Genomic DNA, 14,195 nt, shown 5'->3' on the forward strand with positions numbered 1-14,195 from the left:
ATGTTTCTTCACATATTCCCCCAGCAAGTGTTTATTTAACACTTACAGCGGAGGCCCTGTGGTATCATAAACAGAGTGGGTCTTGCAGAGAGCTAGATCAGAGTTCAAATCCTAACTCTGCCACTTAACTAGCTAGTTCATTTTTTCAAGCCTCAATTTCCTTACCCATGAAATGGAGACTGTAAGGACTACCTTGCAAGGTTATTGACAGAGTTAAAGATAACCTATGCGAAGTGCGTAACATGTTACCTAACATGTTAAAATGCTCAATAAATAGCAGTGTTATCAAGGATAAAGATTAGGGTAGTATGAGTGGCTGAAGATGTTTATTAAACAAAAAGAAATTTAGACTGACCTTTTCAAGAAGCACCTTTTCTGAATCCTTACATTAACCCCCTCAAAGAACTAGAACCTATATAATATGGTCATACCTGCTCCTCCTCCAGAGGAGCCAACAAGAGGCAAATTTGGGATTGTTTTCATAAGAAAATAGAAGGCCATATCTCAGGATTCTTCCCGGTTGGAGATTTTAAATGCTGAAAGTCTCCCTAGCATCAAACTAATTTTCCCCCACGTAATCCTGAAAAAGGGAAATTGCTCCAAGGACTGATTACCTTCCAGGTTCCTCTGCCCATTGCACGGGGTAGCGGGGGACAGGGGTTGCACCCACAAAAGGAAAGCACGCCTCAGATCTTACTCTTGCTCAGGGATTCCTTGTGTCAGGAGCATCCACAGGCTAGGTCGGCCTCGATTTTTTTCTTCCTTAGGAACTGTTTTAGGTTGCAAGATTCTGATCAAATCAGTTAACTTGTTTCCACTACTGAAGGTCCCAGCCTCATATAAAAATTCATATCAGAACAAAAGGTCAAAAGAGTGGGTGTTGAAATTGAGACGTCACTCTGCTCAAACACCAGGGAGCCGAGGTCGACAGCTATGAGCCAAGAGCTATGAGACGGCAGAACACACAAGAAGAACAAGGTGCGGAGGGGGCCTCCCACCTCAAGGTCACTCACAACTCAGGGGAACCTCTGGCTTCCTTCCCATATCATCTCACTCCCTTGAAAAAGCCAGGTGCAATGACAGCCTTTGCCAGCAAATCCCAGGAAAGGCCAAATGTCCCAGACACAGGGAAGGGCACATGAGCCTTTTCTGAAGGCTGGTGGAACTCAAAACCATTTGGACCAAGTAAGCAGAATGAGAAGAAACCTGCTTTCTCCTTGTCCCCAGATAGTCTCATTAGGCAGCCCTTTCCCAACTGCAAAGGTGCAACACCCAATCTTTCCACTGAAATCACATCATTTTGCTGCCAAGAGACATCAACTCCAGCAAATCAGTCCTCAGATTAAGGACACCAAATAAATAACACCTTCGATTCTCAAAATGAAGGAATTACATCTATGATGACAAATCAGACTCACACATTCATGTAGATGACCTTTCCTAGCCCCAGTAAAGGCAATCTTGCCTTTCCTAATCTGACGGCACAGCACGTCCAGCTCAAAGAGGGGAAAGAAGGGAGCGAGTGTTCCCACACACCTGCTCTGATGGCTTCCCACCTTCCTTCAGCGCTGCTCCAGGGACCTGGCCCAAGAGTGCCTCCTCTCCTCTTGGAGACTGTCAAAGTCCAGGTGCCACATCTACCAAGACTCCCCAGGCCCTCAGATCTACATCATGTCAGTTACCTTTGCAACTGCCCAACCTCCATGGAGCTGATTCATTAGGGCAAAGTACAGCCCAGATACCGCAGCCCAGGACCCGCCTGACTTGACGAATTTGCTCAGAACCCTGTCAGAGACTGGCGCTTCTGTTTGCCTGAGCATGGGCTGAGCCAGGTTCACTCACATGAGAAATCATCCAAATTCCCACAGCAATCACGGAAGAGAGACATCAGGAAGAGGAAGTCCAGAAGCCCCAAGGCAGCCTGGTCTGGCGAGAAAAGCACCACCTTTGGGGTGTTAACTCGGGGCTCTACCACTAGCTGGTTCTGTTACTTAACCTCTCCGAGTTTCAGTTTCTTTTTCTTTAAAATGGGAATGGCAATGCTTAGCTTATGAGGGTCATTACGGGGCTGAAATGTTGGTAAAGCAGCACATGATATATAGGTAAGTATGCCCTGCAGATCAATATTATCTTTTCCTTCCCAAAGAGACAAGTTAATTCCACTGGTTGAGGCACATGGGGAAGGGGACACGCTCACTGGTGGGAGCAAACACCTGGTTTGCCCAGTGTGGGTTTTTCTTATGTATATTTCTCACCATTGGGTTCTGGTTATGTAATAAATTCTGTCATCTAGCTGGAAGGCAGATTTATATCCCCAGTACTGAACTGAAGGCACTAAAAAGTTTTCCATTATAACAAGAAAGTAGTTTCTCGCACTTGAAATATACATTTCTTCTGCATTATTAAGGTAAACGCAGAAAAGCACATGACTACTTCTGAATTAATATTTTAAAATTCTGAATTTGCTCTTTTAAAAAATCCCAAATGGTTTATTCTTTCTCTCAACAAATGCTTACTGTGTTCCTATTAAGGGCCAGGATTTGACACACATAAATATAAAAGACACAAATTAGTCTCTCATGTCTGTCCTTACTAGTCCAGGGAAAACCACCCCTCTTGGGTCTCATGGTCATATAGGGTCATGTACCTAAGCTACAAGATTTTCTCTCAGCCCCTCAGCTGACTCTAGAACCCAGCAACTGAGCATAGAATTCTCTGACTGTAGCTAATGGTTTCTTTTTTTTTTTTTCCAAGACAGAGTCTTTCTCTGTCGCCCAGAGATGGAGTTTAATGGTACAATCTCAGCTCACTGCAACCTCTACCTCCCAGGTTCAAGCAATTCTCCTGCCTCAGCCTCCCGAGTAGCTGGGATTACAGGTGCGTGCCACCACCCCTGGCTAATTTTTGTATTTTTAGTAAAGAAGGGGTTTCATCATGTTGGCCAGGCTGGTCTCAAACTCCTGACCTTGTGATCCACCTGCCTGAGCCTCCCAAAGTGCTGGGATTACAGGCGTAAGCCACCATGCCTAGCCACTAATGGTTTCTTACCTCACTCTTGGGCTGTGAAGTTTGGCTCTCTAATGGCTGCACTGTTGTTTTTAATCCTTCTGGGAAGAGGAACTAGAGAAGAACATGCACATTAACAGCAGGAATCAGAATGTGGGTGATGATTACACTGACGTGATATCAAATTATATGTTCTGATATATCACAACAACATTCACAAAAGTTCTTGATGTCACTCTTTTGGCATATAATGTGACATTAGTCTTGCCCTGTAACACCAGCTGCATTATGGGAATGTTAACTTTGAAAAGGACCTTAGAGGTTATTTTAGCAACTATGCTTTTTTGATGATAAAACCAAGATCCAAACAAGTGAAATGATTTACCCAAGATCACAAAGTTACCTAGAAGTTCAGTGAAAATTACACTGGTGTGCTCTAGCTGCCTTGCACACCAGTGCAAGTTTAGTAAGAGCTGATTATTAAATATTCAGGAATTGTGTGAGCCGGTTGTTAAACCATGGAAAACTTGAAATCCACCATGGTGGGAGTATTTACACCACAGAAATTGGCAACTGCTACAAAGCAAGGTTGTTGGTGGGTTGCTGGTTTATTTCAGAGAACCTGTTTAGCAGCATACTGATTTGAACCCCAAACTCTTACTTCCTGATTCAGCATTCTTGCAATTATAGAATTGTCATTCTGTTACTAGCCTTCATTGCACAACCCTGGCTTAAACATCTAGTCAAATTATTCTAAATGCTTATTTTGTGACATCCCAAAGTATCTCTAATTATCTCTAGAGTTATTATGAAACTCTTCAAACACTCACCAACCAAAATTAATTCTAATTAGCTTTAATTATTCTATATAGACATATGGCATACAACAGTTATATGGGTCACAAAATTAACTAGATTGTGATGGGATCTCACCACTCCAAAGGGTTTAGGATTTATCATTTCCTACCTTCCCAGCCCCACATAACTACAATTACTAAGTCTTTCGACCTGGCAGCTCAATTCTTCCTGATTTCTAAACCAAATTGACCCAGTTTGACAATACATTAGGAGCTCAATCCCCACCAGGAGGTGGACCAGAATGAGTCTTGCCACCCCAAGTCCTGGCTGCAGTGTTCTTGGATAATCCAGTAGGCTCCCTCATGCCCAAATGGCTACAGTCTTCACATCATCCTGCCCCAAGTGCTCTGTCCTCATACTTGATTCCTGCCCTGCATCCCAACTATGCACCAGGATTGGAGTCCTAGAAGTTTACTAATTTATGTGAATTTCCTTTCCCAGTCTCCATCCTCCTTTCCAAATGCCGGACAGCACTGTCTAGGGTCTAGCTTCAAACAAGAGTAACTGCCTGCTGTGAACTGAATGTCTGTTTCCTCCCAAAATTCATATGTTGAAAACCTAACTCCCAATGTGATGGTATTAGGAGGTAGGCCTCCAAGAAGTAATTAGGGCATGAGAGTGGAGCCTTGTCAATGGAATTAGTTCCCTTATAAAAAGACACAAGAGGGTTTGCTTCTCCTCTCTCTCTCTGCTCTCTGGTGTGTAAGAATACAACCAAAAGATGGCCATCTGCAAACCAGGAAGTGGCCCTCACCAGACACCAGATCTGCTGGAATCTTGATCTTGGACTTCCCAGCCTCCAGAAGGGTGAGAAATAAATTTCTGTTGTTTAAGCCCTAGTCTATGGTTTTCTGTTACAGTAACCCAAACTGACTAAGACACTACCCTAGTTTGACACCTGTCTAGCAAAAGTATTATCACTGTTAATGATGCTGCTAATGTTTAGCCACCGGATTAGTGCTGATGGATGTGAACACCCACCTAGATCTAGGTCAGGTTTGCCAGGAATCCTTGAGCACTGTGATTTAATGACTGGTTACTCTTGCAAAGGGCAGCTCAGCATTTAAGACATCCCTCAGGCTTCATCCTAATCCTTTACTGAAAGTAAAAATTTAGAAAACAAGTTGAGAAGATCTACATCAACGTGTTATCAGTAGTTATCCACCAGGTAATGGAATGGTGGATGATTTTATTTTCTTCCTCTTGCTTATCCATATTTTCTAACTTTTCTACAATAAATGTATATTATTTTAAAAGGCAAAATTAACTGACATTATTTTTAATCAATAGTGTTAGTTCAACCATCAAATGTGTTATTGTCACATCAGTTACTAATTAGGCATTCAAGCTGCTAAAATGGGACAGTGCTCAAAACTTCCAAGATTGATTAACTGTGCTCAGTCTGCTTTTCTTGATAGAGGTTGAGTCGTTTGTACACTGAACAAGTGTTTATTGAACACCTACTATATGCCCATCATTATCACATGCACTGGGGATACAAAGATAAATAACATGCAATACCTGCCCCAAAGAAGCTCTCAATTCAGCAGAGCAGTAGACATTGAATCATAATACAATGAGTCACAGTACAATGCAATAGTAATACAATGTAATCATCATTCTAATGGATATATCACTGATTTTTCTAATGGAAGAAGCACAGCGGAAAGCAGGAGACTGGAAATGGTAGGTGTGCTGTTCAAGGCTATTCCATAAATCAAGCAGGACAGATGAATGCCTGAACGAGAGCAGCTGTGGAGAGACTGGAGGAGAAGGGACATATAGAATATATATATATATGTTTATAAAATATAATCAACATGCATTGATGGTCTGTTGACTGTAGAAGATGAGGGAGAAGGAGAAGTCAAGGATGATCCAAGTTTTCAGGCTGTGGAGATGAAATGCTACCTTTTTTTTTTATTTTGGCTAATAATCTTAGAAGAGGAGCCAGTTTGGTGGGGAAGATGATGTGTTCAGTTTTGCACATGCTGAATGTGAGGGGCCTGTGGGACACAGAGGTGAGTATGGTCAATAAGTAGTTCACTGTAATGAGCTCAAGAGAAAGCATGGAGGAGAGATGTGGTGGTTGAAGCCACAGACACAGACAGGATCACTGAAGAAATGCTTAGAAGACAAGTCTGAGGAAGGAGCTCTGAGGTGGACATAGAAGAACTGGACACAGAAAGAGGAGCCTATGAAAGACAACATGGAGGTGCCAGAAAGATGGGCAGATAACCAGAAAAGGATGGTGTCCCAGAAGCCAGAGGTGATGGCTTCAAAAGCAGGACAGTGGTCAACAATGCCAAACCTAGGAGGAATATTGAGAAAGACAACAAGTAAAAATGTGTTCTCTGGATCACTGGATTTGACAATTAAGAGGTTTGATGATCTTAACGGAACAATTTCAGTAGGGCCATGGTCAAGGGAGTGAGGGATTAGACATAGAAATCACTTCTACAGCATATGGAAATTACGGAAGAGGAGGCAGCAAGTAAAATTACTCTTTCCAGAACCCTAGATGTGAAGAAAAGGGTTGGGGCTACCATGAGGCACTTGGATTTGAAGAATTGGTTTAGGGTGGACTAGACAAGAGAGGGTTTCTGCTGATTCATATGAAGAGACTGGAAATACACAATTACTGAAGAAACAAATCTCAGAGAAAATGCATCACATGGGATCCAGAGCACAGGAACAAAAGTTAAACCTAGCCGAGGAAGGGCACCTGTTCCTCTAAATCAGGGAAAAAGAGGTGAAGATGGGCACAGGTGGAGATAAGTTTGAACATAAGGGGACAGAAACCAAGAATTCCCTGTGGAGTAGAATGCCAAGTTCTACTGGCCACCTCTAGGGTGAGAATTTGGTAAGAGACTTGAGAAACATTATGACGGTTTGGAATGGCCAGTGTGGAATATAGGAGTGGGCTTTAACTAAGAACGTGTGCTCAGAGTAACAAGTGGGCTGGAAATGCAGCTGTTATTGAACACCTAGGCTGACTTCAAGCTCCATGGGGATGTCAGCCTTCTGTGCTTTGTTCCATGCAATATTCGCAGTGCCTTGCACAGTGCCTGGCATATGACAAGAGCTCGATAAAATTTTATTTATAAATGAATGGACACCTTAAATGTATACCAGCAACAGCTTATACTGTATGACTGTACCCAATAGTTTTCATAGCCTGAGTATAGAATTAAATATTGAAAGAGAGTTTCCAGAGAAAGTAAAAGAGAAGGCTGAGGCAGTGAGTTTAGGGGGCTGACCTAAGTGTGGATAAAGGGCTGCTGTGTGGGATATAAATGAGACACAAACAGACACAAATTATCTGCATACTTTATGAAAATGAAGTCCCTAGCTAATCTTGAGAGGCCCACTCCAACAAGACAGTGAAAGAAAAACATTACATTACAATAATTTTTTAAAAATTCTTAATCAAAGTGGGAATGATGAGATAATGGCCACACATGTATTTCCAGCAACATCTGATGCATTGTGGCTCTTTTTAGTCAGCAAGCATCTCATATTTCTGACTCCAAGAATGAATCAGGGAGTGACGGTTTAGTGCAGAGCAGCCTCTTGACTCCAACTAAGCTACCCCCTGGAAACAGTCCTGGGATATGGAACTCTCATGGCCTCAGCCAGTGTTGGCCACCAAGACTCCAGCCCCTTGCTTCAGGTGAGCTGGGTGGCAGACAAGATGCAGAGCGTCCTGTGCTGCTCAGCTGTTCTAGTTATTAGGAGGGAGTGTGCCAAGAAAAGATGGTGCCTGTGCCAGAGACAATTAGCCTGGCACAGGTGCCATAAGCTACCAGTGCCAGTCCTGGGATTGTTACTCTTACCACAACCTTAGGAGTGAAGGTTTAGGCACAATGCAGGCTTCCTACAGGACCAAGGCACCCTGTGGTTGCACCCACAAAGGACTCCTTCAAATGCCACCTACGTAGCTGCCTGCAAACCTGCCTGCTCTGCATCCACCTCTGCTGCCAAGAGCTGGAGAGGCAGTCTATCATTCAAGAAGAATGACTCTATGCTTCCTTATTAGCCCTAGGCTGGCAGAGGTGGCCCAACCTCCTCCTCTCTTCACCCCTCCCGTTTGATTGATGCCCCCTATATCAAGAACAGTGGGTGGCAGATGGATGCTGCTGTGACTTCTGACCCCATGTCAAGCTCCAGCAGGCAGAGGTGACTCATAAACCCACTAAGTGAAGTAGGACTGGAATATTCTTGGAATGTTCTCTCAGCTGCAGGTCGACAGGATGTAAATTCCCCAAAGGAGCAAGACAACTTGGTGGTCCTGGAATAAAGTTGTCCAGGTGTGAATCCCAGTCCTACTATGCTGGTTGTGTGAAGTTGGGCAAATTACTCTGCATCTCCTTTTCTTCATCTGTAAAATAGGGATAATAATAGAACCTCCTACCTCACAGAGTTATTATAAGGGTAAAATTAGATTAAAACCCTACAAAGTGTTTGGCAAATCACAAAATGCACAATAAATGTTAACAGTTATTATTTCCCTGGAAATACCATAAATTGCCTAAGAAGTATTCTGCACAAGTCATCAGTAAGGGATTAACTGATTATTCATCACTGCTGTGAAATCTACAATTTCTCCTTGACACTTAATCCAATGCCCCCATTGAGCCATGAGATCAAAAAGAAATAGAGAAAATGTGTCATACAACAACACAGGAAAAAAATAATGGGCTAAGGTGAAAACAACAAAATTAGAAACTTTAAGAAAATGCAGCCCAGTGCTTCTCACACTGGAGTACTTGTTGTTTCAGGAACAATGCAGGATGCCACGGATACTCATCAATTTTCTTTTCTAAACAATTTTAATAGTATCTTAATTTAAAACAAATACAAATGTTTTGGAGTGAAATTCAAATTTGCCTTAATTTTTAAGATGAAGCATGATACTTCAAAGAAACTTTACATGTGCAATGGGACAGATACACATACACACACATTCACACACACATACCCTGTACCCCCAGAAGTCACTCCCTGCCATTTGTTGGAAAATTTTGAGAGATGCACTCTAAACAGAAGCAGACATTCAGATACACAGAACCAATGAGCTGGAAAGGATCTGTGGAAAGTCTCCATCCCTGCAGGCGAAGCAGTGTCTAAGCCAGACAGACTCAAGCCAAGGCCCTCATGCACACATGGCTCTTTCATTTACAGTCATAGAACTTCAACTACTCTCTATTGCTGGATAAAAAATATCATATTATATAAGATACTAGAAGGTACCTAGGGGGCTAGTGACACTCTCAGTTTACCTGAGATGGGTAGTATTTGTCCTTCAAGGAAAGTAGGTCTTTCAGCTCCATATAGAAACACAACCCAGTATTTTAGAGTCCAGATGTTACTTCCTGATGCATGATACACACAGTCACATGGGACTCGGACTCTCATTGCAGCTGTCTGAATAGGGTAGACAGCCCCCATACCACTCAGCAATCTGCTCCTCTCTGGGTACAGAGCTGTGATCTTGTTTATATCTCCTTAAAAACTGTCCTTTCCTTCATCATTTTGGGAAGTAGCAAAGGCCCAAAGGAAAGAAAATAGAAAATGAAACCTGGATTTGGTTTTAACTACACCATTTGCTAGCCATGTGCCTTTGGAAAAATCGCCTAATCTCTATGAGCCCATCTTTTAAATGAAATTTTTAAATGAGATTTTAAAAATGAAATCTCATTTAAAAGGACTGTGATGTGGATGAAATGATACATGGAAAAACACCATAGAAAGTGCCTATTAATTACAGGAGTGGGTTTTCAATAAATCTTTGCTCTTCTCTCTTTCAGGTTACTTATATTCTGTTAAAGGTGTGAGAAGCTAAACTATATACAAAGCTCATGACTTTGGTACACTATGGGAATTGAGAGCTCAGGCTTTGCAGTCAGAATTGGATTTGGGTTCCAATGCCTCTGCTGATTAGCTGTGAGCCTTCAGGCAAGTTATTTAACCTCTCAGGCTAAGTGTCCCCATTTGCTAAATGAGTGTATAATAATGAATATCTTCATGAGATTGTTGTAGAATAAATGAGATAATGTACTGTGCATGGCCTGTAGGAGGTGCACAATAAGTATTTGATAAATAAATTAATGCATGATCTAGGAAAAGCACTCAGCACACTCCCTGCACCTTGGTAAGTGTCCAACAAATGGTTGGTATCAACGTTGTTTAAAAGAGCATAGCACTATTTCTAGCAGGGCATGATGGCTCATGCCTGTAATCCCAGGAATTTGGGAGGCTGAGGCAGGAGGATTGCTGAGGCCAGAAGCTCAAGAAACCCTGGTCAACATAGTAAGACCCTGTCTCTACAAAAAAGAAAAAATTAATTGGGCATGGTGGCTCACACCTGTAGTCTTACCTAATTGGGAAGCTTTGGTGGAAGGATCACTTGAGCCCAGGAGTTCAAAGTTGCAGTGAACTATGATCATACTGCACTCAAGCCTGGGTGACAAAGTAAGACCCTGTCTCAAATAAATAAATAAATAAATAAATAAATAAATAAATAAATAAATAGCATAGCAGAAAAGTTCATTTCTAGGCTGTTCAGAGTATATGTTCTTATTTAGCTTTTATCATAGCAGTTCATATTTAACTTTTATCTTAGCTATTCTTCATTATTGACATAATCTAATCTGAGGTTATTGTTTTTAATTTTTATTCTGCTCTGTCGCTCATCATAATAATCCATTGCAGTCATAGCTTATCTTTCCCAGAGATGCCTATCCTTAGCTCATTATTTTCATTACCCAGTGGCATCAGTAGAATGTCCATTTTAGAGGCAATAAAAGTGATACTTTTACCAAATTCACAGAGTGTGTCAGTACCAGTCATCAAGTAGAGGAAAATCAACCACAGGTCTTCTATTGGAATGCTTTTGCTCGGAAGAGCATATGGCTTAGTAATAGCCATGTAATATAGTAATATATTTAACACAAAAATGCAATTATTTAAAATCTATTTCATGTGAATACAATAACTATAACCTTCAAAGTTATCAGTCAGTGTAAATAGGTTCATTCAACCTGATGATAGATAGATAGATATTAAATCATAAAAATAAGAATTCAAAGATTAATTTCTGACAAATGGGACAAGTTCTCCTTGTATAAAGGTTCATACTATTTTGCAGGTTCTACTGTTCTGCCCACTGTTCCATGTACAGAAATGGCCCGTGTGTGTACAGTGTGGATGCATACATGTGTTTAAATGGTACTCACATCCCTTGCTCTATCAGTCTGGAATGAGTGGCTGCAAATATAGCAAAGCTCCCCAGCAGTGCTGTTCTAATGCTAAATTTAGCATAGCAGGACAATTTCCATAGAAGCCACTTATGATGCCAAAAAACCAAATTCAAATTTCAGGTTCTGGAGGACATTGAAGGGCACAAGAAGATGATTTTCTAAGTGTATTAGTCCATTTTCATGCTGCTGATAAAGATATACCCAAGCCTGGGCAATTTACAAAAGAAAGAGGTTTAATGGACTTACAGTCCCACATGGCTGAGGAGGCCTCACAATCATGGCAGAAGGCAAGGAGGAGCAAGTCACATCTTATGTGGATGGCAGCAGGCAAAGAGAGAGCTTGTGTAGGGAAACACCTCCTTATAGAACCATCAGATCTCGTGAAACTTACTCACTATCATGAGAAGAGCATGGGAAAGACTTGCCCCCAGGATTCAATTACCTTCCACCAGGTCCCTCCCACAACATGTGGGAATTCAAGATGAGATTTGGGTGGGGACACAGCCAAAGCATATTACTAAGCATATGTGTCTGCTGTCATTACAAGGGAGATGGCTAAAGTTCACTATTTTCTGGGAGCATCCCATAACTGAATTTTGTAGATTCTTTGTATGCAACACTGCTTCTGTGATGTAGTTTCTGTACGAGCTTGCTAGACGTATTCCCTTTTACACTTAGGATGCAATATTCTGTATGCCTCATAACATTATGACACTGTGACACCATGTCCTAGTGCTGATCTAGATGTCATTCATTAAATAAATTATGTCACTAAATGAATCCAACTGTGGTATAATTTCACCCCTGGGAGAATTTTTTTTAATTATCTCCTTCATTCACCAAATAATATTTTAGACAATATTAATTCATTTATTTATGAAATAATAAACGAAGACTTTCATTTATTCAGTTCCTATGGGAGAAAAGCCTTTTCCCCATAGCTCCTCTAAGAAAGCTGCTAGCCCTGAAACTATATGGAAGGAACCCAAAACAGTTTGTGCTCCTATTTAATAACCAAGAAACAGGTGGGAACCCAGGAGTACTTTATTATTGTGTATTTCTTGAATATCTACTATGCGGCAATAATCATTTTAGGTGTTAAATTCAGGCCACACTAAGTGGGCAAGGTGAACTTGTTCCTTCTCTTCTTGGAGTTTAGTGCCTAATGGGGACACAGCCTAGGTGACAGGCAATTCCAATAATAAGTGCTGGGAGAGGATGACAATGAGAAGCAGATGTAATGCAAAGAAAAGGTATCAACCCTCACCAGAGAAGGTTTCTCTGCGAAAAAAAAAAAGAAAGAAAGAAAGAAAAGAAAGAAAAAAAAAATCTGCCTCAACTGAGACCTGAAGGATGAGAGTGCATTATCCTGGAAAGAGAGAAAGGAGAGCAAGAGAGGATGTGTTCTGGGCAGAACAGACATGATGAGGGCTAAGAGGCGAAGGAAGACCTGGTACATTTGCAGCATCATAATGGGTTTTATGCTCAATGTGGTTTGAGCTTAGAATGCAAAGAAAAGTTGAGAGCTGATACTGAAGACTGTCCCTGCTTGGCACCCGGACAAGAAGAGTGGAGTGTAGAAATGGCAGGTACTCAGCATAAGTATGTGCAAACCCCTGATGTTTAGCTTTTATCATAGCAGTTATATGATAAAAGCCAGGGGGTTTGCACACAGTTATGATGAATACCTGCCATTTCTGCCAGCATCCTACACTCTGGCTTCTAGTAATAAATTATCAGTTTTACTTTTATGAACTTCCCTGCCCCCTCTCAGTTTATTTGCCATGTGTGAGACTGACCCCATCTCTTGCTCTATGAATGAGCACAAAATTTAGACCTGGACAGTAAGAGTCTTGCATCTCCCTGGCCATGGTGATTAACTCAGCAGTCAGCACATGTCCAGAGACATTCCAAAAAGCAGGCACCCGGAACTTATGCTTGAACTACTGTGAAAGAAGGATGTTTCTCACTGGGTTGACTGACATAACAGAATGTCAACCTACAGCAGCAAGCAGCCATCTGTCCACCATTTATTCATTCAATAATTAATGACTGAATAACTATTATGTGCCTCATGTTGTAGGCATTAGGAATACAAAAATAAAGACATAATTCTATTTCTCAGGTTTTCACCATTAACTGGAGAGACAAATAAAATAAACCAATCACTTTAATAAAATGTGGTAAGTGTTAGGGTAGAAGTTACATACATTATTATATGCAGAGGGAAAGGCAGCCAACTAAGAGAAAGCTATGTTCAGGATGGGCCATGGTGAGTTGAGGTGCCTGCAGGACAATGTACTGGAGGTGTCTTAGGCAGTAAATATGAGTCAAGAGCTCCCAAGAGAAGTCTGCAGAGACACACACCTGTGGTGGGTGGTATTCATTTGTTTATACTTTGCTTCTTTCCTGAAGATTTGTATGTGCTTTGATTTAGGCATTATCAGCATACAAGTCATAATTAAAATCTCAGATATGAATCAGATTGTCAAAGAAGAGCACAGACTTCAAAATAAGAAAATAATAGTTTAAGGTAAAAAGCAGAGGAAGAGAAGTAATGAAGACTAAGAAGGCAAAGTCAGAACAGCATCAAAGGCAACCAAGGGAGGAGAGGCTGTCAAGAAAGGCATAAAGACAACAAACACAGTAAGACATCAAATTACATAAGAACTCAAAAGTGCCCACTGGAGTCCATAGGGTTGGTGAAAGGGTCAGAAAAGGGAGAAAACAGTAAGGAGGGATTGTGTTTGCTCATTGGCTGGTTTGGTGGGTAGTCGGTTGGTGTATTATAAAATGGGAGAGACTTAAAGATGTTTTTACTTGTGGTGGAAAGCCAGTGGAAAGACTGAAGACACAGGCAGAATAAAGGAACTGAGTGATGAGTGTGGTAGTTCCAGAGGAGGCTTATGGGGATAAGTAATCCAAGAGAAGGGATTTGTCCTGGGTCAGGAAGTACACCTCTCTCTTGGGGAAGGGAGGCAGGCAGCAAGGGTATGAATGCCCATGCAGATAATTTTGTGAGCTAGGCTAGCAGGGCTGATGGACAATAAGTCTACATAAAAATTGTGC

General features: G+C 41.5%; 2 protein-coding genes across 8 annotated transcripts in view; both read right to left on the minus strand.

Annotated features, from left to right (window-relative positions):
- CRYZL2P-SEC16B (CRYZL2P-SEC16B readthrough) overlaps positions 1–14,195 on the minus strand; it is a 109,189-nt gene that overhangs the window by 39,560 nt on the left and 55,434 nt on the right. Inside the window, exons 9-10 of one of the 3 annotated variants that reach the window (NR_151492.2) lie at positions 4,846–4,962; positions 3,049–3,120 (exon numbers count right to left, since the gene is read on the minus strand). The exons of the other annotated variants lie outside the window; for them this stretch is intronic. The gene's annotated coding sequence lies outside the window, so the exon portion shown is untranslated. The remainder of the gene's footprint in view (positions 1–3,048; positions 3,121–4,845; positions 4,963–14,195) is intronic. 3 annotated transcript variants of the gene reach the window in all.
- Positions 1–14,195, minus strand: part of SEC16B (SEC16 homolog B, endoplasmic reticulum export factor) — a 55,497-nt gene that overhangs the window by 39,560 nt on the left and 1,742 nt on the right. For 2 of the 5 annotated variants that reach the window (NM_001390833.1, NM_001356499.2), the window contains exon 1: positions 1,843–1,897. The exons of 1 other annotated variant lie outside the window; for it this stretch is intronic. The gene's annotated coding sequence lies outside the window, so the exon portion shown is untranslated. Of the gene's footprint in view, positions 1–1,536; positions 1,712–1,842; positions 1,898–14,195 lie in introns of those variants that run through there. 2 more of the 5 variants (NM_033127.4, NM_001390834.1) reach the window with 1 other exon arrangement.

Source organism: Homo sapiens, chromosome 1 (genome assembly GCF_000001405.40).
Source record: "Homo sapiens chromosome 1, GRCh38.p14 Primary Assembly".
Taxonomy (NCBI): domain Eukaryota; kingdom Metazoa; phylum Chordata; class Mammalia; order Primates; family Hominidae; genus Homo; species Homo sapiens.